Here is a 25,406-nt window from a genome sequence, read left to right on the forward strand (position 1 = left end):
TCACAAGCTCAGTGTCACCACTGAGTGAGCATCGATTCTTACAAGGAAATTAAGACTTGGGCTGCAAGAGCCTCGCCTCTCTCTTCTGATTTATCTGGCTCTTGCCTCTCCCCCTCCATCAAAAGACCACACTATCTCTCTCCTCTTTTCCATTTGAACGATTTTGCCATTCATCAAACTGATTGCTAATGTGCAAATTACATGATGGTATTTTTACAGGGAACCTGCATTCAGGTAAGTTTGAAGCTGTGGGATATTTGAGGGGGAAAAAATGAATAATGCTTATCATGATCCACAGAAACTAAAGTCAGGCATTGTAGGACAGTCCAGAACCCAAGAAGGGCCATGGACAGGACCCTTCCAAAGGAAAGAGAATCTCGTGTCCCGTGTGTTAGCGAGTATCCATTCCAGCTCCCCCAGGGCTCTGGGACCCACATATCTGTGCCTCCATTTTTCTAGGGTTGTAGTAGCTGGTGGTCCAGTTGAAAAAAATGAAAACAGGAAACCTGTCAAGAATAGATAGTGTTATTTAGGAAGTATATAGGTACTTACATTACTGAGACCACTTGAACACATCCTTTTAAATAGATACCTTTTTTAAAATCTATGGTTATGTAACATCTGTGTCCGAGGGATTTAAGCAGAAAGCCCTGTGGGTTTCTCTTTTCAAAAGACAGACCTTATTTATAATCAGCCCCTCGATTTTTTTGGGGGGGCCTTCATGGGCTTTTGAAATCTTAGGAAGTGTCCATCCTAATTCCTTATAGCTGCTCTTTCTGTGGCTCTACTAGGGCCTTCAAGATGCTGAATTCACTTATTAATTAAATCATTGACGTCATTCAGGGGGTTCCTTTTGCCCACTGCCCCCCAACATGGGAATTTTTAAATGACTGGCTCTAGAAGGGCCCAAAGATGGTGAAGGTGAATTGATATTTCAGGTGACCACTAGATGGTGAGACAGTATAAGGCAGAAAACAGGTGGCACGTGTCTGTGAAAATGAGAGGGATGGCCAGGGCTGGCAAAGGCAAAGAAGGGTCCCCCTTGACTTTTAATGCCAGCCCCCACCCCAGGACAGACCTTGGATTCAAATAGGCCCCAAAGCTTTAGCCAGACCAGCTTTTTACTTTTACGCTGTGACTTCTCCTAGTTAGCTATATGCCAGGATTTTAGAAGCATTTTGGGGGGCTCAGTCTAACAGAGGGGTCCTCCAAGTGGCTTTATTGACATTTTTTCATGGGGTGGTTGTCCTATGCACTGTGGGATGTGTAGCAGCATCTCTGACCCCTACCTACCAGACACACACACACACACACACACACACACAAACACACACGCACGCACACTCTCTCTCTCTCTCTCTGACAACCAAAACTGTTTCTAGTCATTGCCAAATGTCACCCCTCATTGATAACTACTGCCCTAACATCATCAGTATCAAATTCTGGGGACAGTTCAAGATCATACATACTGTAACTTGCGTATCTTAAAAATATATATATTGGGGCTGGGCGCGGTGGCTCACGCCTGTAATCCTAGCACTTTGGGAGGCCAAGGTGGGCAGATCACCTGAGGTCAAGAGTTCCAGACCAGCCTGGCCACGTGGTGAAACCCCATCTTTACTGAGAATACAAAAAATTAGCCGGGCGTGGTGGCGGGCACCTATAATCCCAGCTACTCAGGAGGCTGAGGCAGGAGAATCGCTTGAACCCGGGAGGCAGAGGTTGCAGTGAGCCAAGATGGCACCATTGCACTCCAGCCTGGGCAACAAGAGCAAAACTCCATCTCAAAAAATATATATATACACATATATTTTATATTATATATATATCATATATAATACAAAATATATATAATATGATATATCATATAATATATACATATATAATATATATCATCTATAATATAAAATACTTTTTTTTTTCCAGAGAAAAGTTTGTCCACTGCAGTTACTTTTTTTTTTGAGATGGAGTTTCACTCTTGTCGCCCAGGCTGGAGTGCAATGGCATGATCTCAGATGACTGCAACCTCTGCCTCCTGAGTTCAAGTGACTCTCCTGTCTCAGCCTCCTAGTAGCTGGGATTACAGGCATGAGCCACCGTGTCCAACCCTGCAGAAGTAATTTCTAGAAATCTCAGAGAAGAAAGTGACCCAGATGACCCTAACTAGAATAGAAAAGGAAATTATTTCAGGGAAGTAAATAGTGAGCTGACTTTGATTAACCAAGTCAGTCCCATAGCTAGGCTAAATCAATGCTTAAATAGCCTTTACCCTTAAATGATCACATCTTCCACTTAGGGTTTCTTAAGGATGCCTTTTCCTGTAGCAGGCTAGGAATTCTCTCTCTGACTGGTGCACACTCAATTAATTCACTCTGCATTGTAGAGAAGGATGCCAAGACACGAAGGACCCATCTGTCAGATGGCTGCTGACAACGTATCAGCTCTAGGGTGGCAGGAGCCCCACTTTATATGTGTTCCCCAAAACAACAGCAGAGCCTTTAACTGATAATGTGTACACACCAGCAAGCAGTGTGTGGGCCCCAGTTGCTGGGTCTCCCTAGTCTCAGGCCCATAGAGAACCAGCCTACTGCATGGAGGTGACCTATAAACTTTCAGCAACTGATCTTTCAAGACAGACAGTTAGATTGCAGGAGAGAGGGGCAGTGGAAGGAACGGCTCTGAATGACTGGACTGAGAAAGAGCATAAGATCTCTCAGGAATAATACATAGCTAAGCCAATAGAAGTAACAATCCAAGGACATTTCCTGGTCAAGAGTCTTGCGCTTGGTCTCTGATAAAGTGGACACCCCCTTCTCCATCCTAGGGCAGACTCTGTAACCATTATTTCTTGGAATAATCATAATAGGACTAAATTGTGATCTTAATTTTAAACAGTGGTCTAAGCCCCTAATTTGCATCTGACCAGCCTCTCTCAAGTAACCATTATGGAAGGGGACTTTATAACTTCTTTGTTATATTTTGACATAACACATTTACATTTTTGCCCCCATTTGGTCTTTCTATAGAGTTTTCAGATTGTAACATCTGAATTCATCTCATCAAGTTTTCAAATTGAAACATCTGATTGTAACAACTGAAACAGATTCATTAGGGATCTAATTTTTTCAAACAAAGGAGATTTTTTTCTTTTTTTTTTTTCCCTAGGGAGTTTCAAATTTATGACCTCTGACTTCATTGCAAAGGCCAGAAAAATAAATAAATAGATAGACAATGACCACTCTCCACTCCAGACATGCAGGTGTATTTCAACACTTTAGCTTTTACTATCAGGATTTCTTTAGGGGAAGGTGTAGAAATATATTGGTAGTTTGATAAATTATATATCAGACATGTAAAATTTAAAGTATCATTTGAAATCAAAACTTGTCTGAAGACTAGCTTTTTATGTCACAAGTTCAGCTAAGCAAAGTGTCCCCTAACTATAAAACCTCCTTACTGCAGAATCCTAGAAATTACCAAAGGCAAGCTTCTTGAATGTTGATTTTGAAATTTTGCCTGCGAAAGTGCAACATCTTTCCAAGCAAATGCTTAGAAGACTCAGGGCAGAACCCAAAAACAAATGCCAGACGTTAGGGGAAAATTTTTAAAAGTTGGATTGCCAGAAAACTTCTAGCTATTTATAATTAAGCATTTTTAGCTGCTAAAAGGAAGCACATTAGATCATTTTGTTTTGCAAAACAAATGGCCAGTGTGGGTTTTAGGATGGACACTCCCAGGAGGGCTCCCCTTTCTGAGTGGGAGTCTTTGGAAATGTTCCTGATGGGATCCAGTCATTCTGGAGCGCTCTTACGAAATCGTTCATCCTAGGGCAGTTTGGTGTTTGTGAGCTTACAGCGTTTACTCCTTGCTGTCTTCTACCATAGGTCTGATCTGATGGGGGAGGCAGTGGGCAGAGGAGCTCCAGCTCTTTGGGAGGGTCCTAGAATAGTACAAACAGCACTGGGTTAGAAGTTGGGGGTTCTCATTCCTGGGACCTTGGTTGATTATAGAACTTTATTCTAGGATTCCATGAATTTGCCAAGCTGACATCGGGAAAAGGCTAAAGTTTGATTCTTGAAAGTATTGACAAGGCCCCATTTAGGAATGATTCTGCCAAGTATTCCTGGGGTCCTGCCATGGTCAGGAGAGCACCTTAAATTTGATGAGTTGTCAGGGAAGAAGCAGAGGGTATCTCTGTGTTCAGCTTTATGTATGAGAAAGTCAAGACACAAGATGGGGGCAGGACAGGGACAGCTTGAGAAAGGAGGCTTGAGATTGAGACTTGGAACTCAGGTGCCAGGGATGAATCCAAAAGGCTTGCAGGCATCTCAGCCTCAGACTTAAGCTAACATATAGCAGATAGTGGACACCTCTCCTGTTTCTTTCTTTCTTTTTTTTTTTTTTTTGAGATGGAGTCTTGCTCTGTCACCCAGGCTGGAGTGAAGTGGCATGATCTTGGCTCACTGCAACCTCCACCTCCCAGGTTCAAGCAATTCTCCTGCCTCAGCTTCCTGAGTAGCTGGTACTACAGGCGCACGCCACCACACATAGCTAATTATGTATTTTTAGTAGTGATGGGGTTCTCCATGTTGGTCAGGCTGGTCTCAAACTCCCGATCTCAGGTGATCCCCCTGCCTCAGCCTCCCAAAGTGCTGGGATTACAGGCGTGAGCCACCGTGCCCTGCCAATATTTGTCTTTTTAGTAGAGATGGGGTTTCACCATGTTAGCCAGGCTGGTCTCCAACTCCTGACTTCAGATGATCCGCCCACCTTGGCCTCCCAAAGTGCTGGGATTACAGGCGTGAACCACCGCAGCCAGCTTTTTTTTTTTTTCTGGCCCTGCAATCTTGATTCCCCAGAGTTAGGGTCTGATTTCAGATGTTAAGGCAGGCTCAAAGTGGGGCATCTGCTCGCCACAAGAAGGTGAGAGGTCAGAAAGAAGAAGCAAGACCATTAGGGCTGCCTTAGTTGAAGAAAGGGGGCTCATCTCTCATTTTCTCAGAAGTTTCACAATCCAGAAAGGGGAGAACGGAAAGCAGCCTCCTAAGGAGTTCTCGAATTTCTTTCTCACTTTTCCTTTGTTTTCTCGCTCTCTCACTCTCTTCTAAGATTTATTTTTAAATGGGGTTCTTATTTTGGGGGGACTTTCTGAGCAGGAACTACCTTTTTTTTGGAGGGAAATAAATGAGAACACAAATTATTCAGGGCTGGGAAGTGGAAACAATGAAAGAAAGCAAGGCTACTCAGAACCGGCTGGCAGATGGCGCTCGGCTTTTACGATTGACAGCCTGGCTTTCAAAAATTCACCCTTGCGCCGGCGCCTAAGGCAGAACCCGCATCCCCCTCCCTAAATCCTCCTTCCCAAGGACACGGCCCCTGCCCCTAAGGCTGAGGAATGTTTTTAAAAGGTTTCAGTTGAGCAATTGACATCTAAGGACAAATCCCGGCAACTTTTAACGAGTGGATCTGAAGATCTTAGCCAAGGCAGGAAAGCACACGATCAGGTAACCTCCAGATTCACCGCCCTGGTGCCCCGGTTCTCCTGGGAACTGGTCCTGAGATCTTGGACAAATCCCTGGTTCTAGTTTTTCTCAATTGAAAAAACAGGAGGGATGTCTTTCTCACTTTAAAACTTATTTAATTATCTTATAAAGTTTCAATAGATGAGGTATGCCAACCCCCTATCCAACACAAATTTTTTTAAATGTCTGTTCCAAAATGGCAGATTGTATAGGAAATCAAATGGTAGGGCCCTCTGTTGTCCTTTGGTAAATAATTAATAGTTTCTGGGTCCCAATCACCGGGAGAATCTTTGTGGGAGCAGAGTTTGGTGGTAAACTCTTTCACACCTCAATCAAGGGCTAGAAAAGAGGTTCATAGGTGAGCAGAGCTCCAGTTTCCACCAGGGAAATCTAAGGGGCCTACCTGGAGAAGTTAGCATTTAAGACAATATGGAGAGATGAAGTAGAATTTGAGGTGCATGGTCAATGATTGTTTACAGAGAAGGGACTTGCTAGGGATACATCATTGCTTTTCCATTCATGCAAGTATCATTGTGTTTTTCAGGATCTCTGAGACCTCAGGGCTAGTTTTAAGTTCTTCCCCTCCTCAACCCCTCTCCACTTCTCAGTGCTTCACGGCACACTGGGGCATTCTCACTAGCGAAGGTGTCCTCTCTAAGGATGGGACCCCTACTGTCCATCTCAGGCTCAGCACTGCCTTGGGGCAGGCCACTTCTGGCTTCTTTAGGCCTCGTTTCCACGGGAGGGGAAGCTGGGTCCGATGGTGTCTGGGTCAAATTCCTTGGTTCCAAGAACAGGTACCGTTGCCATTCCCTTCCATTTCTGCCCCCTGCACCACCCCACCCAGCAGCTGGAAAATGATGAGGTCATCTATTTGAGAAGGGCCACACAGGCCTCCCACACAAGGACCTACAAAGTCCTCCAATGGGAATTTATTTCTTTCTGATCAAATTTACCCTCCATACCCCATTCATATACACATTCTTTCTCCCCTCTCTCTTAAGATTGTAAAGTTAAAGAAACTGAATACACAGGGTTGATTTAAGGTAAACGTCCCTCCCACCCATCTATTTAAAAAATTTTCTTTTACTTGATAACTTTCCTACAACATGATTCTCTTATGCCCATATTCCTCTGAGGATTCTTTAAAGCTTTTCTTGCACTTTCTCCTCCTCACAGTCCCTGACTTCTAGCCCTGAGTGGTGGCTGAGGGCAGGTGACCCTGTAGACCGTGGGGAACAGAGGAGGCCAGGGCAGGTGGCTGCCTCTTTCCAACCTTTCCTGGGCCATGGGAGCTCCTCCCCACCAGAGGTCAGCAGAGAGCTCAGAATGGCTGGGTCTGCTCTCAGAAATTGGGATCTTGGAATTCTCTAGATGAAATGTAGGATGCCCAAATGGAAAAAAAGCCCCATGTTTCCAGGGTGTTTTGGTTGGGGCTCTCATCCTGTCTTGGGTCCCGGGGACCTTACTTTTAACACCAATACAGCCATTCTGTGCTTTTCTCAGGGGAGGGGTGGTTGGGGGTTTGGTCTGTTTATTTGGTGGCTTTCTTGGTCAGTCTTCTCCCTGCGCCAGACGCACAAATCCCTCCCTTAGAGGGAACCACACCCTCTTAGAACTCTCCCTTCTGGGGCCCAACTGCCCACTTTCGCTTCCCACATGACATGGAACCCACATCCCACACTTGGCCGGGCGCCTTTTCTTCTAGTTGTATTTATTGTTAAAATGACATCATAATATTACAGGAAATCCCCCCAGCCTACCCTCACCCTGCTGTGATTTTACTGATCATTATCTCCCCCTGTTCTTTACTCAGGTGTATGCATAGTTTTGAGAGGGCATGAATCATGGTGTGCAGTTTCATATTAATCCCCCTGCTCCACAAACACACACTACAGGACAGTTTCCTTAGAGCTCTTCCATGTTCGCCATCGTCCTTCCACAGTTCTTTCACTTGTTCAGTCCTTTCGCTAGCGGGGAAGAGCAGGGAAAGAATTGAGGTTCCCTCCCTTTGTTTTTCCTTCTCTGATCTTTTGAAATCCCGGGGTCCTTGTGAACGACTCAGAAATTAAAACCAATTCCCTTTGGCCAGTTGTTTATTGTTGAAAGAGAGAGACAAAGAGAAATTAAGGTGCAAACGGAAGGAAAGAAGTAAATAGAGATTAAATTTAAAAATTTGAAAGGGAGCAGTGGTTCACGCCTGTAATCCCAGCACTTTGGGAGGCCGAGGTGGGCAGATCACCTGAGGTCAGGAGTTCAAGACCAGCCTGACTAACATGGAGAAACATCATCTCTACTAAAAATACAAAATTAGCTGGGCATGGTGGCGCATGCCTGTAATTCTAGCTACTCGGGAGGCTGAGACAGGAGAATCGCTTGAACCCGGGAGGCAGGGTTTGCAGTGAGCCGAGATTGTGCCATTGCACTCCATCCTGGGCAACAAGAATGATACTCCGTCGAAAAAAAAAAAAAAAACAAACAACAAAAAAAAAACCAAAAAAATTAAAAGGGAGAGAGAGGAGGAAAAAAGAGGGAAAGGAAAGAGAGAAGGAAGGAAGAAGGAAGGGAGGGAGGAGGGAGGGGGAGAAAAGAAAAGAAAGGAAAAGAAAAAAGAGAAGAAAAGAAAAAAGAAAAGAGTGCCTTTGCCAAGTTTAGCTCTAAGCACCAAATGGGGTCCTTGCCCTCTAGGAACTTCTAGTCCAGAACAGAGGAGAGGATCAGGTTGCAAGTGATTATCCTTCTACCAGGCAGGGGGTGGAGCGCTGCCAAGGAGGGTGTGGCTGGCACAGCTGAGGGGCCAGGCTGGCTAGACCGGACAGGAGTACGGGGAGGAGAGGCAGGTTCACAATCCAGGCTGGGGCATCCTCTCCTCCCCATCTCACTGCCCCATGAGGTCCCTTGTTCGTTCAAGTGCCAACCAGAAGAGCTGGGACAGAGGCCTCTCTTGTGTGCCAAGACGGGGGCCACCACCACCCTCTGAGCTCTGACCACTGCCCTCTCACCTCTTATTGCTTTCCCAAGTGTTTACCTCCTGATTCTAAAACGATGGTCCAATTTTTGTTTTATTTTAAAGTTAGGAACACACTGCATGTAGCACACTTCATGGAGCACAAGTGTTTTCACATGCCTTATCCCACTAAGTGGTTTTGTTTTGTTTTAGAAAGTCTGGCACACAGAGAACCTTCTAGTTCTTTAAAAAAAAAAATCATAAATTTTTAAATTTGATAATTATCCAGAACAAAACAAAGCAAACCCTAAGGTTAAAAGTGAGCATCCTATAAGTTAAGTATAGATCTTTGATGTTGGGGAAACCTTTGAATTTTACAAATCGATGTCCTTGAGAATTGGGTTCCAGCCAGACCCACTGTAGGCATTGTTTTCTTTTTTTCTTTTTCCTTCCTTCCTCCCTTCCTTCCTTTCTTCCTCCCATTCCCCCTCCCCACTTTGAAAAACAAGTTTTATTCTCTTGGGTTATGTTCATTAGAGAGGGAAGACAATTCTGTTCAGCAAGGAAAGGTGAGGGGAAGAGAAAAGGGGGGAATTCAGCCAGAGGAGAACAGGGACAAGGTTGATTGCTCTGTGCTGGGGTGAGGGTGGGGGGCAGAGAGAGAACATCACAGCCAGATGCAAATCACAAGAGCAGACCTTCAGCTTCCTGGCATTGGTGGGGAAAATATTCCGTCAGCTGCCTTTCTATGTCCTGGGCTTCATTCATCAGCTCAAGAGAAAAAAAATAAAATCAAAATTTCATCCTAATTTGTTGTGGTTGGACCCCATTCTCCCACATTTTGGCCTTCTTGTAAAGCACAACCACAAAGGCAGAAGTGGCTTCCTGGGCTGACCTGCCTCTCAGTTCATTCTCAAGGCGTTAGCCTCATCCCATCAGGAGGAGTTCAGACTCTCCCCAAGCACCAAGAGTTAGAAATGTGTTGCTAATTGATTTGAGCTAAATTTGTGTTGCTTTGAGACTTAGCAAAATGGCTGATTAGGGGCCAGTGTTGGGGAAAATAATTGCTGATCTAATAGCTATGAAAAGGAACTCATTCACAAATATGTTTATAAAATGGGCCTTCTGTGACATTTTGGAATTGTCAGGGAGTTAGGGGTCACGGTGGTTCTTCAGGAAGAAAGAAATGTTGTTGGGAAATGTTTAGTGGAAATTTAGCATAAAATGACATGCCTAATTTAAGAAAACAGTTAAATCCATCATGGTTCCAAGTGAAAACAGTTGTCACAAATTAATTTTTCAAATGTTTGACTATTGGCAGGTCTGAGGTTTACTCATCTGTAGGTTATGTCCAACTTGGCAAAAGCATGGAATCCTGCCCAGTCCTTGGTACACAGGGACTAGCACATGTACCCATTTTTTCTCACTGATAAGTTATTTCCTAATTTTTTGGTTAACTTGAAGGTCGAAATAGCCTTACTCCTTTTTGTCTGTCTAGTAGCATCTCTAAGCTTGCAGTAGCTGCTCACGTGTCTGCCACGCCCCTTAGAAGGACGAATCCTTGCCTGGTCGGTGAGTTTGCCTCAATTCGGGCATTTTCATTTGTTCATTCATTCGATATACATGTATTGAGTGCCAAATATGTGCCCTTCCCCGTGGGGAAGACAAAAGTATGAGACACTGCTACTCCCTTGATGGAATCAAAACAAACCCAGGAAGTTAACAAGAGTGGGCAGTCTCTGCTAAGCGATTACACAGGGAATAAATAAGGAAAGATGGAAAGATTGTCAACCAAAAGACTTCAACAACCTGCTAAGAGTCTTCCAGCCCAGTTGAGCACACCAAATCAGAGGTTACCTAAAAGTGTCATGAGTGCTGATAATTAAACTGCAGAAAACCTAGAAGGATCTGCTGGGGTCAAAACAAGCAACATTTGACAGGCACAGCCATTCAGATTTTCATGCCACTCTGAGGCTGAAAATTTCTGCACAAACAGCAGTGACTGAACCTTTGCTAGTCACAGGATAGACCTCCCTGTTGATAGGGTAGACCTCCCTGTTGATAACTTGTCAGTCATGGGACTGAATGAGGCCTTTCTCCAGGAGGCACAGCCCAGAGGGTTACTGGCCATGCTGAGGAGGCAGTCTTGCTTCCAGGAGGGGCTGCAGAGGCCTGGCCCAAGAGTGGTGCTGAGAACTGCCTTTTGCCAACTTCTTTCTTTCATTGTGCACTCTCTGGAGCCAAACTATGCCTTCCAGGATCTTTCAAGACTAAAATTCTCTTAGGAAGATGGGCCCAATATTTCCCACCTAACCTTAGAAATCTTCTATGTCTAGGATTAGTGTTTTGAGAGTTAGATGGGAAAGTGTAGTTTGCAGCCAGATCCTTATGTACTACAGAGTGCTTTCACCTTAGTGCTTTCATCCTCCATCTTAGCTCCAACCCTCCATCTTAGCTCTTGGGCTGGCCCCCGTCTTAGCTCTAGCCTTACATCTTAGCTCCTGGCCTGCCCTCCATCTTAGCTTCTGGCCTGCCTTCTATCTTAGCTCCTGGCCTGCCCTCCATCTTAGCTCCTGGCCTGCCTTCTATCTTTGCTCCTGGCCTGCCCTCTATCTTTGCTGCTGGCCTGCCTTCCATCTTAGTTCCTGGCCTGCCCTCTATCTTAGTTCCAGTCCTCCATCTTAGATCCTGAGCTTTGGGTCTCTTTTGTTTTGTTCCCTAATGCAGATAGAGATAGTCTATATTCAAATACTATAATTAATTTCCAGCCATTGTGGAATGAAAAACACATTTTAATTTCCAGAATTTAATTTCCAACTTTCCTTTCACAAATACTTTTAAATTATCTATTTATTACCCTTGAAATAATATGTCTTATGGATAGGTCTCTGTAACTATCACAGCATATGATAGTGACCTTTATGTTTTTTTGAAAATATCTGTGTAATACAGATTGCTAGCTATTTTTTATGTTAAAAATAAGACAAGGGAAGGTTGTCTGGATGACTGAACTGAAAGAACTCTCAGGTGAACTTTGCTCCATAGTGAATATGATTGAGATTTATAGAATTATTAAGTTGTGGCTTCTTAAAAATTGCCACCGAAACAAGAATGCCTGAATTTTGTGTTCTGGGTGATCGTGGATGAGCACATGGCACATCTGAAAAGTGATTTGGCCCCAGGCCTCCTTACCTCCCTGCAGGTGGCTGTGTTCTCTTCAGTTAATCCCATTAGCTGGCAAAGGCTGATGAGGCTACTCGTAAGGGACATGTGCATTTTCATAAAGAGCTTTAGAGGCCCAAAAGCCCAGAGAGTCACATTTTTAATAGTGGGGTTCCTAAGAGTAGCATTCTAACAAGAGGCATTGGGGGGAACAGGGGAGAGCATTTGGGCAGTCACCCCCTCCCCACTTCTAGTTCCAGCCCCATACCCTGTTTTCCCAACCCAAGTCTATGGCTGCCTAGCAGCCCTCTAAGCAATGAGTTGACTTTCTTCCACTGTGACCCCAGGACACGTGGACCCCTCACACCAGATCTCCAAGTAGCAGCATAGTGCTTAGTGTTATTCTGCCTGGCAGCGGGGTGCCCCCCCCACCCCATTCAGTGGCAGTCAGGTTCAGATCGTAGCCTTCAGGGTGCCTGACTCATTCCGGCTCCGGTCGATAATGACAAGCCCCATGTTTTTCTCCAGCGTCCACGGCTATGACACATACAACAGTCAGGAAATAAAAGAGGCTTGAGTACTATACGGTTGCTTTACTTTCTTTAAAAAAGAAATATAATGTGAAGGGCATGGGGGAAGGAGCAAGGAGGCAGGAGTCCAGGCCAGCAAATAAGCCAGCAGCAAAACAACCTTGTTGTTTGTATGTTACATAAACAGCCCCCCCAACTGTCCTGCGGTTATATCCTTAGGAAAAACTGGGGCTTAGTGGCGCTTGGGTTGATTTCACACCTTAGCTTAGAGTTACTCAGAGGTGTATTAACAGCTAATGATTCCATTGAGGGCGGCCCAGATTGCCATCTTGACTTGCCAGATATTAGCAATACTCTTATAGAAACCCAAAAGCCTGCCAATTAAGTTCCCCAGTGTAAGTTAAAAGGGGCCTTTCTGAGATGCGTGATCTTTAGGAAAAGGAAATTAAACTAATTTTGAAAGCTCCTAACACTCGAGTTTCCTTATAATGTAAGTAGGTGACAGCTGGGATGAATATTATGAGTCCCTCCCATAATGTGTATTTGAATAGATGTCATGGATTCTAATGGCAGAGTTCAAAGTCACTCAGAGGGGCGGGTTTTTATTTTTTTAATGTCACCCACCTGAAATTATTTTCAGAAAGTTCTGTAATGGCTAACAGGATTAGAATGACATTGTCACAAAATGATATGAGGTGTTAAAAAGACCCCTACATGATGCGGTGTCCACAACGCACAAGAAGTACCCCCCCACCCAAGCATGACTCAGTAACACTCAGTGAGGAGGAGAGCATCGAATTATATAAGTTACAGTTTTATTTCAGACACACAAGCACGTAGGCCAGCAGTGATAGTAAACATGCAGGCATGCTTTCCCTCTGAGCATGAGAGGCGTTTGGATTTTACCCTCCCAGATGCAGAACCTCTGTACTTCTAAACAGCTTCCTCCTGACCCTTAGCTAAGTCAACGGGGAAAATCAGCCTCCAAGTTTTGCTAAATTGTGTACCATGACAGTGACTTGTATTTAGGAGACCTTGCGTGGATCTAAAGCCCAGAAGTAGCCACCACCACCGTTCCTCCTGATGAAAATGGCCTCACCAGCACCTCGCTGCAAACAGACACCAGCTCAAAACATTGATTTTCTCCCCACCCTCGCAGGGTTAGGATTCTGCTTAGAACTCTGCTTTAAGCTAAAATTTCCATCACCAAAGGGCCTGATTTCAGGCAGAGAAAGGACCACTTTAGCAAATGAGAGAAGCGAAGAGGAGTGGAGGAGGAGGGTCATTTCAACAGCAGCAAAACTCAGCCATGCCATTTTCCCTGACAGCACTTTAATTATGATGAAAGAACAAGATTTTTTTTTTCCGGTTTTTACAGAGGAGGCTCGTGGTGGGGGGAAAGGAGGGGGCTCTGAAAGAGATGTGAGCTGCCAAGGTACAGAGTGCAAAGCGGCTGTCACTGCCAAATGACAGATGCAGTTGGAGAGGGGGAGAGAAGCCCTTCCCTGAGCCTGTGCACCAGTGGCCTATTCTGTGGGGGCCCAGGACTAGTCAGCCAGGGGCAAATGGTGAATAGGATGGCCCAAAGGAGCCACCTGCTACATGCTAGCTTCCCCCTTTCCTTCCGTGAGATTTTAACCCCAGGGCTGGTTCTCCTAGTTGTGCTCTGCTCCACCAGCTTTGAAAGCCTTGGAGGGGTTTCAAGTGGTCACATACCTTATTGTTGAAAAGGATGTTTTTCTTTAAAGTCAGGTGCTAAGTCAGGTGTGAGGTTGAAATGGACACTTAAGGGCTTCAGAGCAGGATAAAGGGACAGAGCCCAGGAAGCCCAGGACTGATGCTCTGATGGGCAGAAGCCAGCCGTGTTTTAGGAATGGGGAAAGAGTTGGAGCACCAGATGTTAAGAGGCTACAGTCAGCTCAAGCAAGAACGAGAGAACGGCGCTGTCACTGACTTCCCACCTCCCGGCCTTGCCGGTAATCCCTGCTCTGATTGGAGGCATGGGGTCCACAGGAGGCACCTATTGTGTTGCCACAATGCCCAAAAGTGGCCTGAGAATTCTGGGCTGCTAGTGTTTAGAAAGAGATATAAGTGAACCCTAGACTCTCACAGCTGGAAAAAGCCTTTCTTCCTGGGAATGGGAAGTAACAAAATGAGTCCAGGTTAGCTGTGGAGTCCTTAGAGATGAAGGGAGCAGAGAGGGCGGAAAAAAAACAAAAACAAAGAAGGTGCATTATTTTGTGTTTCCTTTCACCTCCCTCCTTGGTTTTAGGGCCCTTTCCTGGCATGCAACAGGAAGTGCAGGCTGTGTTGAGAGCCTCTGGTGCAGACTTACGCAGAGCACAAGAGATGATGTGAGCCTGCTTGTCTGGGCTGCTTTTGTGTAACTGAATTACACAGTATCTATGTTAGAAGTGATGTCACCCAAGAGAGCCCCATGGCCTTGAACTAAACACCAAGGGGCATCGGGCCCCGGCCCCAGGAGGCCTGCTATGCAGCAACTTTTCTGAACAATTTGTGATTTTCTGTTCTTATTCCCCTCACTAAATTGTCATGCTGCTAGAGACACTTCTAATTTGATGGTTATTAATGGGCAGCTGGTAATGAAACAGCAAGGACTTAGGGCTTTGCAGTAGGTGAATTACGGACATTTACAAGTAAAACAACTTTACTTCTTACATTTAGCAAGAGGTTTAACAAGCAAAGTGCAACATCTGCAGAATCTTATGGGAGGAGGCAGTGGTCTTGAAATTGTGAGGCAGTACTGCAGGGATAGAGATCGCCTTTCCCTAGAACAACTGCAATCTCCCCATCAGAGCCAACTGGAAATACAAATTTGCTCCTATCTCCATGCGTGGTGATTCTGCCTGCTACAGAGATGGAGGAACAGTGATCTGGCTGATTTTAATGGGCCCATTTAGGGAAAAACACTTAAAAAATATGTGAAAATGCATTTTCCCCCTATTCCTTCTGGAAAGCAACATTAGGGTCCGGCAGTTCTGTCTGGAAGGAGGGAGATGCAGGAGCAGCATCCTGGCTTATGACCGCGTGGCTGCTTAGTGGTTTTATTTTAGAAAGAGTTTTAATGCAGAGGCAGCGGTGGTGGTGGGGGTGCGGGTGGGGGGGGGAGGGAGACAAATCAGATGTAGAGGTTTGCAGAGCCTGGAGGCCAAAGGAAGCCCACTTCAGGAGACCACATTTTCAGCATCAGAATAAGTAAAGTATTTGAGGATTTTTGTCTCCTCTTAAAAATAGGCACTTTGGAAAAGGAAAATATGCAGGCTTTTGAGAAACACAGTGAGGTGATCAGTTAATGTGAGGTGGTGGTGATTGTAACGTCGGAAGAATTGGTCTCATTTTTCATGTCACAATTAATATTGTTTGAGATTAGATAGCTTCTTAATTTAGACCATTTACATTTTACAGAGCACTAAAAAGCAAGCCTCCAAGCCACTTTCTGGCAGCACAAAGCCAAATAAATGGGAACAATATAACCTTAAAAAGATCCATTCTTTCACTTGTAGCTTTGCTCTGGTCAATATCGAGTCATTTAGCACAATCTAAAAAACTCACATTTTTCACTGCTAGAAATATGTAATTCTTCCTACTATTCATTGCCTGCAGATGTCCTGTTCTGGGGACCTTTTTGACTTGGGTTTTTGTCTTCTTGACACCAAAGCATACAATCAATTTGGTCAAAAGTTCAATCGTGAAAAAGCATCTGGATGTTTTGTCTATAAACAACCAGTTTGCCTGAATATTTGAGAGGATCAGCTCAGCCAACCACCTGTCCTGATGTTACCCCAACACAGCCCAAATGCACTCAGAGGGGTGCGGAAGGAAGGGTACACACAAACAAGGTGTGGGGGTCTCGCTTTCTCTGCTGCAGCCATCTGAAATCGGCTGCAGAGGAGGGGGGAAATGAAGCAGCAGGCTAGTCCTTCTAGGCAGACGTGGAGAGAGAACCGTGTGGAAAGATATCTTTATGGCTAGACTCTCAGCAACATCACTGTCAGAATCTGGTGCCTGCAGCCATCTTAGAATTTAGAGGAAGCTGAAGGCACCTGCCCACATTTTGTCTTAGGTTACAACCAGCTCAATCCAGCCAGCAAAAAATAAGGTTGAGAAGCATTTCGCTTTTACAGAAAAAGAAAAAATTTCCATGATTCTGTTCCTTGAAAAAAAAGCTGACCCTCCCCAACCCAAACCTTTTATTTCAAAGTCACCAAAACTGAGACTAGATAATCTCTCTCTCTCTCTTTTTCCTCGTGTGCATAGCCAGTTTAGACTCTCTTGGCTGGAATTTTTCCTGATCTCTCAGTGCAGTAAAAAGCCAGGCAGATGGGGGAAGAAGGGAACATGGAGAGGCAGAAGAAGGGGCAATGGCTCCTTGGCACATCTCCCTTTGTAGTTCAGTCTTACACAGTCCATTTTTATTTGCAAATAGCTCAGCCCAAAAGAGGGTATTGATATGACCCCCAGATGCTGTTCCGAATCCATCTTACTTATTTTCCCTCGGGGGTGCAGGCAGGGCAGAGCCCAGATATGATCAGACCTTCAAAGCGCAGCCTTGATCCTTTATTTTTCATGTTACAGTCACAGACCTTGAAAATGTGTTTTCAGCAGTTTACCACATACCGAGAATTTCAGGAAACAAAAGGTCAAGAATTGATGACTTAGATTTATTAGTGGCCCCATTAAGCAGACCTCAGAATTCTAATGATGGGTCTTTGCTAGACAAATCAATGTCATGTTTCTAAAAGGACAAGCGTGACAGCTGGGTGATTTCACAGAATTATCAGGTATTGGGAGGAAGGTTAAGCAGGGGTTCAATTACTATCAATTACAATGATGTTCTTGTTTGTTTCCCTGGGGTTTTCATGCTGCTAGTTGTGTATTTTTTCCCTTGCATTTGCATATTTGCTGTTTTGCTTTACATGTTTTAGAAATTATCCATCTATTTTTTTTTTTCCTCTCAAAATCTCTTCTACCTTTGGCATCAATTGTAGAAACTAAATGTCTGCTGTAGAGTTCTATCCTTTAGTCATAGTTTTTTGTTCTGTTTTGTTTTGTTTTTAAACAAAGTTCTCTTCTCTGCCTCCCCACCCAATAAACTGAGTGGATGTATAGTTATGCCAAGTTGTGGAAAACACATTTAACACATTTAAGAACGTGCCAGGTATGAAATATAAAGTATGTTATACCTAAGATTAAAATATTAATTCGATTTGGGGATTATGCCAGTCAACATTTTGGTTTTACATGCATTCATTCAACTAACTTATGGTATCTTGTTGAAATGATGCATTTAAAATAATTACTGATTTAATTAAAAGAAAACTAAGGAACTTTTCAGGCTGAGAATGACATTAAATTATCCTGTTCTTGAGCGCCTCCCAGAGGCGTGGGTTAAATAACACCAGAATATGAATTGAGGGTCATTTCGGCTTTTCTAGACTTTGGGATGCCTCCAATGGTTATGAGTAAAAGGAGTGGTGCTTTAACTTAGAGATTAGATGTCTCTGGGTCCCAATTAAGTTTTATATCCATTTCCTTTGTATGGTTGAGCTATTTGGCACCATCTTGGCAGAAGACAGGGATCCAGGGCCTTTGCTACCAGTGGAAGGGATTGAGGAAAGCTTCCTCTGTGATAAGTCTTGGCTTGGCAAAACATAGCCTAGCCTTCTTCCTTCCCTCTCCAGACCAGGGCACCACGTGGAGATAGCGCCGTTTGCTTGGGCTGGCCTTGGACATTTCAGAGTTCCCCTCTTACTACATGCTGACATCATCCCGCAACTCCCCATGTGCCTTCCCTCACTGTTGCCAAGTGCTCTTGAAAGTCAACCACCTTCCTGGGTGACTGCTGCTTTCTCACCTCAGGTTAAACCCATGGACCCAGTGAAAGTTCTCCCAGGGGCTCCCATACCCGGGGGTAATCATACCTTCCATATGTGAAGGGCTAGTTTTCCAGAGTTTTTATTTCTTGGTGTTAGGTCACTGCAACCCTGGGATAAAAATAGATGTAATTAGCATGTTGCAGATCAGACTCTGCACTTGTAGCTTTGTGCCACTTTCTCTAATAATACCAATTTTGGTGACACATTTCCTAGAATCCTGGACTTGCTTCAATCCCTAAAATCCTCCAAGAGCTGAATTGTAGGACAAACCTGTTTGCTTTAGAACCTAGAAGGGCTTTGTCCCAGTTAGATTGTCTCTTTTCCCTACCTTTCTAGACATTGCAGGTCCATCTCCATTTTCTTTTTTGTTTGTTTGTGTTTGTTTTGTTTTGTTTTGAGACGGAGTCTGGGTTTGTCGCCCAGGCTGGAGTGCAGTGGCGCGATCTCGGCTCACTGCAAGCTCCGCCTCCCGGGTTCACGCCATTCTCCCGCCTCAGCCTCCCGAGTAGCTGGGACTACAGGCGCCCGCCACTGCGCCCGGCTAATTTTTTTGTATTTTTAGTAGAGACGGGGTTTCACCATGGTCTCGATCTCCTGACCTCGTGATCCGCCTGCCTCGGCCTCCCAAAGTGCTGGCGTGAGCCACCGCGCCCGGCCTCATTTTTTTGTTTTTATTATCAGGGAGCAACGGCTCCATTCTCCCCTAAGGCTGACATTTTTGTTGAAGGCTGAGCACGCATGTCTTCCGTGCTTGTGGCAAAAGGCCCTTTCCTGGCTGGCTCCAGAATCCTCACCAGTTAATTGGGAAAAAATTTGAGTTAGGCATCACAATTTCAGCCGAGCTGGGCAAACAACGAGTACACCTGTCACTCGAGCCAGTGTCCAAAACTCAGCCCCATGGATCACAGCTGTAGCGTTATTTCAGCATGAGCAATTCAGTATTTAATGTTCCTTAGAAAAAAAGTAAATCATTCCAAGCTGCTACTGTTCACCTATTAACTCTTTCAGGATTTCATGGTGGTGGGGTGGAGGTGGGGAGTAATCTATAATTTGCTTGGCTAGCAGAGATAATACCCCCTTCCCAAGTCTGTCTTTCTTACATAATGGCCATTTCTTACATAATGGAGAAGAGGGGCTGCAAAACAATATCCTCTTGATCTGTGGCAGCCACTGCCTTCCAGAATGAGAAGTTAGATTTTCTTCTTTCGTTTCATTTATATTTTTACCTGCGCAGTACAGGTACTGCTTCCTACGATCAGCAGCTTCCATTTCTTCCCTCTTTCCACGGTAGCTTAAATTAGCCCATCATCATCAGCAAATCTTAATTTACAATTAAGTGCTGGGAAAAAAAAAAGTTCGTCATTAATCAGACCTTCTCATTTTATGTAAATGGCCCCCAAAAGCAACACACATTTTTAATCTGTCCTGCCGATAGCTGAGCCCTTCTGTCATTTGGGTCCTAATAAATGAATTGGCCATCTGCAATTAATCTGCATAGTACAAATCATTGGAAGGCCGAGTCTGTCTGCCTTCTGAAAGAAACTGGCTATATTTAGTTTTTTAAGCAAGTCTGCTTTGTGTTCTTTGTAAAGTCAGCGACATTCTTTCAATTTTTTCGGTGTAATTAGCACAAAAGGAGCCGTAATCTGAGAAGGTAGTAGAGACTAAGGCAACCGAAAAACAGGAATGTTCAAGAAAGCAGGCAGAGGCAGCCTTCCCAGTATTGGGCGGCGTGACAGAGACCCTGGGACGTGGCTGTGGGTAGAGCTGAGGTCTGTAGCTCATAAAAAATCTCCTTTTCATCTGATCCCCAGACTGGTTGCAAACGCTTGCCGCTTGGGCTGAATAATTTTCCCCTTCTCATAACTTCCAGTGGTCAGCAAGGACCTTAGAAAGACACAGTGCCATCTGGGCTCTGCTGTTGAGTGGGCTCCTGACAGGCCAGTGAGAGTTCTGTGCACACTGCCAAGCCCTCAATAAACTGCTGAGTGGGAGAGCAGAGGGCATAGCCCTGAGCTCCCCAGCAAATGCTGAATTTCAACCAACTGGAGGCTACATGGAAATCAAGCAGAGGAAGGCTGCAGTGGCCTTGGGAAGGAGAGTTAGAGCCTGTACGAAAAGAGGGGGCAGCCCTCCTCATTGGGAGCTGTGCAGACTGTGCCCCGATGGTTAGTTCCCCCCTCAAAATAAAAGCCAGGGAAATAGGTGGAGCTAAGCGGTAATTACACATTTTTCAATTTCAACTAAAACGTGTGGGCAAACACAAAACGATGAAAAGGTATCTACATTTCTAGATGAATTAAATGTGTGACTAATTATGTCACGTTAATTGCTTAATTCCTGGTTTACCAACAGCAGATGGAAGTGGGACTGGAGAGGGGGTTTTAGCTCTGAAGGCGAATGACACCTGAGGCCCAGTCTAAATCTCAGTTTTCCCAAACTGAGGCTAGACCATAACGGCAGGGCTGTTTGAAAATGATCACCTACATTTGGTTGGCAGGTAGATAAAATCTGAAGATGTAAAACTTCTATTTAGCAGTCGTTTCATTTGTATATGTCCACAAAGCAGCATTTAACTAAACAAAATGAATTGCCTGATTAATCCAGTGTTTTTAACTGTCTAAACTCCAATTCTATGGAGCTAAATTTGAAGAAGTGAATACCATGAAAAAAACCCTAAAATCTTTAAAATAAGAACAATTATAAAGGGCTTCTTTTATCTAAGGAAATTTTATTAGAACCTCAGGCCTCCTGACTGGGCTCAATATCACATCTCCAGGTGCACCAACTGCCTCTTATTTTTTCCTGTTGTCACTTGTTTAGTAAGATGTTGGATCAAAGTGTCATTTAAATAAGGCATCTTGTAAATAAGCAGGAAAGTAAACTGGTCCATGTCTATTTTTAACTAGTCTCCCTACATTATTCTCCATCCTGGATGAGTTTCCATCTTCAAGGCCAAGTTAAAAGTTCTAAGCAACAGGTTTTCCCATTACCTTAGTCCTCATGAAAATTTTTCCCCAAGGGAAGTGAAGGATATTTCAGTTTAGGAAAATTAGCTTTCCTGCCGTAGAGCGGCAAAACTCTTAAATATTTTTTTCTACTCAATTAAGAGCTCCATTAAGTGGGTCCATTGATCTGTTATTGATGTTGATGTACCTCAAAGAAAATGGAGCTTCCTCAGTCTTCTCCTGGATTTGACTTTCAGTTTTGGAGTTACTTGTGGAAGCTGCCGCCTGTGTTCTGCTGATGGGTCTGCCTTTTGGTCCTGCTAGTGGGTTTGTTTTCTGCTCCCTGTTGATATCCAAGTTGTGTGTCCACCTAGAATCTTCAATGAAGGGTAACATGTGCATCATATCATTTAGGCTTCTAAAAGGAACAAAGTAATACATGTCATCTCTTTTTGTTAGCTTCCCCCTTCTTGAGGTAGATGGTGGTTTTGTTAAAAGTCCATTCCTGCCCACGCTGGGGCTCATGGGGATGTGGTGAGAAAGGCACTGATGGCCTGGGGAATTGGGCGTCTGTCCACAGAGACCAGGAAGCCTCTCTCACAGATGGTGCCTCCCCATCAGAGAGTCAGGAAAGATCAAGAAGGGCTGCAAAACGTCCTCTTTGCCCTCATATTATGTGCCATGCTTTTAAGTAGATGTTTGAACAGCATCTCAAAGCCACTGGCTCAAGAAATTGGGTCCAAATACACTGGCCAATGTACGTCCACATTCTGTTTGAATTAGAGTATGTTCTGAATTAAAAACAGATCATTTTAAAATGAGTTGATGGATAATAAATAGGAAAATGTCATATGGCCATGTAGTTAATTCTTCAGTAATTGACTTCAAGTCTTCTGAAATGAAGTTTTATATCATGTTTAGTTTTGAATACAAGTTTAGGGTTACTTTATGGTTGGAGTTACTAACTAGTGAATATGACAAGAAAAAAAAATGTCCTAGATAATCACTACATTCGATTTCTAAGAACTTTTATGGTCTAAAGTAATAGAGCCTTCTTACAAGGATTAACTGAGACTAGGAAATGCTTTTTACAATTCCTGCTTTCATCATCTGCATGACATAGGCTTTGATATTCATTTGCAATAGCAGTTTCAGTCATTCTAGCTAATTAAAGTGCAGAACGTGCTTTGAAGACAGGAAACACTGTGGAAGTGCTAAATACTATTATTAAAACCTTACAGCTAAAGTTTCTGTTTCAGTGGAAACCTATTTATTGTTTCCTAGGCTATTAAAATAATATTATAATTACATTTGCTCTGGGCTCTTGGAAGACAACTTAAAATGACCCCAACTAATGAAAGGCCAAGGATAACATTCTTGTCCAAAAACTGAGTGACAGCATTAAGCAGAACAGTATTTTCAAGATTCTAAGCTGTAGCAAGTCCACTGCTTCAAAAGGTAGACAAGGCATTCTTACTCAGAAAGGAGGATACCCAGGGGCCAAGGAACACAAACTGCCTTTATCACCACGAAGCTGACAAGACCACAGAATTCAAACCCTGATGTGGGACGTTGTTCATTGTTGTCAAATATGGAATGTTGGAAAGAAATGTTTCGAGGCCATATCTCCATGTAGTGTGTGACACCATCTGTTTAAACAAGTTTTTTCGTTAGGTGACCTAGTGTTTTAGGTTAGGGATGTGTTATGATCTCAACTGGCTGGCTTGGGCATGAAGCAAGTCTCCTGAGCCAGAGATCTGTGCTTTCCTTGGGCATTTTATACCCAAGATATTCTGCCCTTTGTCCCTCCCTGAAATCTCCATAACTCCCTTCTCTTCCTGAGCCAGACGAGGGGCCCCTTCCATTGGAAAGCTCTCTCATCTGGACTGTTCCAAGAGTTATGCCAATAGATTGCCCCACTTTCAAAGCATAAACTAGGTACTTAAAACAGTAATGATCAATTAAATTACTAACTCATATGAAAAGGTCACACATGGTAGCCTCCAAAACTAAAAGACTTGAAAAAAAAAAATCACAACTTTTAGGGCCTCAAGAGGTCAAATTTGAGGCCAAAAGCTCAGTAAAATCTCTTCTTTCACTTTGTGTGGAGTGAAAACAGACAGCCTAGCTGACCACAAACCAGCTTGTGTTTCAGCACTCTGGGTGTCATTTGCTTACCTGTAAACCCATGATTCCACCTGCTGTCATTTATTTACAAAGTGAATGCTTTATTTATCCATCAGTAGTTAGTCATAATAAAATATAGGTGAAACCTACACTTAAAAAATTTTTGTTTTGAAGAGTGGCCTCATAGATTGAGAGCTGAAAGGAGTAAAGCCTGATCTTGCGTTACCCATTTCTAGGACAATAGTCCCAATTGTGCCTTGCCTAGGACGCATGTTAGTATATGACATGGGGCAGTTTCACTCCTTTTAAAGTTCAGGTGTGATGTTTATCTAAAAGGGGAAGGTGGTAATGGAGCTCAGAGATTTCCAAATAAGGAGGCTCTTCATTATATTCATTGTATAACTTTGTAGCTCCTGGCATAAGTATCTAGGTTGTATTTGTTACTATTTACCTTGTACCTCTTAAAGACAATGTATCTGTGCTTTGCCACAGTAGAAGCAGGAAGGAAGATGCTTTTGAACAAATGGAGCATAACAAAAATGTCTGGCCTATTCTTCCCTCTTACAAGTCTTTAACAATTTTTAAAAATGACAATCAATCAAATTCAGCCAGGAATTTTTAATTTACCATCTAAAGATATAGAACCTGTGCTGTGTCATCAAGCGGTTCTAATTTAGGTGGTGGATGGTAGTGAGCCTCACTATCACTAGTACAGGCAGCCTAGGAATCATCGATTCTGAGGCCTTACTGCTGAGTTCTCCTATGAGCACATTCAGGTGTATCTGCACAATATTTTTATGCATCTTTGGTTAGGTGAAAAGCATCAACCTAGGATAGTTCCTTTGAGCATTTTCAAAATAAGGTGTATTTTTGTGTGGAAGAGAGGCCATCCATGATCAGGAGTGTGACAAAAACCTGGCCCCAACTTTTCAGCCAAGTTCAAGAAAGTCAGGGGTCTGCAGCAGCCCAGGGCAGGACGGTGTCTAGGCTGCGCTTCCTGTTCTTAATTCCAAGTGTTGTTTGGTGACTTTGAATCGCCCTCTGTTGTCTTTTCAGATTCATAAAAAAGAGGCCTTGTACAATGGGGGCAGCAGTGTACCTGAAGGGGCCAAGAAAAATAATATGTGGCATCTTCATCTGTCACACCTTTTCTTACTCGAAGTGGAGCAAACTGGGGAAAAGGGGGGAATTTCAGTCATCCGGTTGAATGGCTAACAGTGTCTTTTTATTTTCAAAGCTAACTTAAAATGATACAAGTTTGCTCAAGGCCTCTGGTGGTATCAGCCGCCCCATACCCCTGGGGACTGTTAAATGTGTTTCCATTTATAGGTAGACTTTTCTTTTTTCTCCTTCTCCATCAAACATCTTAAGTTTCATGGGCTCTGTTAAGAAGTCAAAGAAAAAGTTGGAAGACAGTTTGTGGACTTTGCATATCTGGGCTTTCCGGGACGTAGGCCTGTGTCCCATCCAAGACACTGCTCACGTCTTAGCCTGATTACCTGGCCGCCTCGGCTCACCTGGGCACATGGTGAGCCGCGGAACTGGCAGGCACCAAACATTTATTGAATGAATAAACCGTATCCCAGCAGACACCATGGTGGCAGCAGATGACCTAACCAAGGTCCCAGGAAAGGCGGGCTGGGGTCAACTGCTTGAAAATTTAGTAACCCTGCTCCTAATCCCGTGCACTGCTATATCCTAGTGTGCGGCGGGACACTTGAGAGTTTTGAAAGAACCCTCAAACAAGTTCACGTTCCGTAAACTACTTTTCCCTCTGTTCCAGAGCCCCCAGGGCGCCCAGGCAAGGCCGCCACCTCTCCCACCTGGGAGGACGCCTCGAGCACCGACTCCACAGCCACGGCCACCGCTCCTCGGCTCCCGTGACACCGGCGCGCCTGCTGCTTCGAGCAGGGGAGGCTTTGCACTCCCATCGCACTTTTCTCGTCCGAAGATACGAAACTCCGTCCGGGCGTCGCAAATAATTCGAATTCGGCTCTCTGACACCTACCTCGGCGGGCGCGCGCCGCTGGGAGGGCGGGGTGGGTGGCTGGAGGTAAGGAGGCGCACAGCAGGGGTAAGCGCCGCCGTCGCACACTTTGCACGCCGCCCAGGGCTACACCACTCACCGAAAATTGGGAGGCAGGTCTGGGAGGCGGGGTTGAGCGCCCACCGCCTTGGGCGCGCCCGCGCCCCCCGCCATCGCGGCCCCCGCGCCCCCGGCCCACGCCCGCGCGGTCCCGGCACCGGCCTGCACCCCCAGGGTGCGCGGCGGC

At 44.5% G+C, this 25,406-nt stretch overlaps 1 protein-coding gene and 1 long non-coding RNA gene across 15 annotated transcripts in view, besides 1 other annotated feature; one reads left to right on the forward strand and one right to left on the reverse strand.

Moving 5' to 3' along the window:
• GNAS (GNAS complex locus) overlaps window positions 1-25,406 on the forward strand; it is a 71,445-nt gene that overhangs the window by 23,885 nt on the left and 22,154 nt on the right. Inside the window, exon 1 of one of the 14 annotated variants that reach the window (NR_132273.1) lies at window positions 24,781-25,186. The exons of the other annotated variants lie outside the window; for them this stretch is intronic. The gene's annotated coding sequence lies outside the window, so the exon portion shown is untranslated. Of the gene's footprint in view, window positions 1-24,780; window positions 25,187-25,406 lie in introns of those variants that run through there. 14 annotated transcript variants of the gene reach the window in all.
• Window positions 124-25,178, reverse strand: LOC101927932 (uncharacterized). Its single transcript, NR_126334.1, has 5 exons — window positions 25,142-25,178; window positions 19,285-19,397; window positions 18,104-18,166; window positions 3,854-3,940; window positions 124-506 (listed from the first exon to the last, which is right to left on the reverse strand). It is a non-coding gene; the product is annotated as an uncharacterized LOC101927932 (long non-coding RNA).
• Window positions 24,907-25,126: an enhancer, noted in NCBI's record as "active region_18179". NCBI's record gives its function as "activates an Ori minimal core promoter by ATAC-STARR-seq in GM12878 lymphoblastoid cells {active_cell/tissue: GM12878}" and the evidence as "EXISTENCE:reporter gene assay evidence [ECO:0000049][PMID:35858748]".

Source organism: Homo sapiens, chromosome 20 (genome assembly GCF_000001405.40).
Source record: "Homo sapiens chromosome 20, GRCh38.p14 Primary Assembly".
Taxonomy (NCBI): Eukaryota; Metazoa; Chordata; class Mammalia; order Primates; family Hominidae; genus Homo; species Homo sapiens.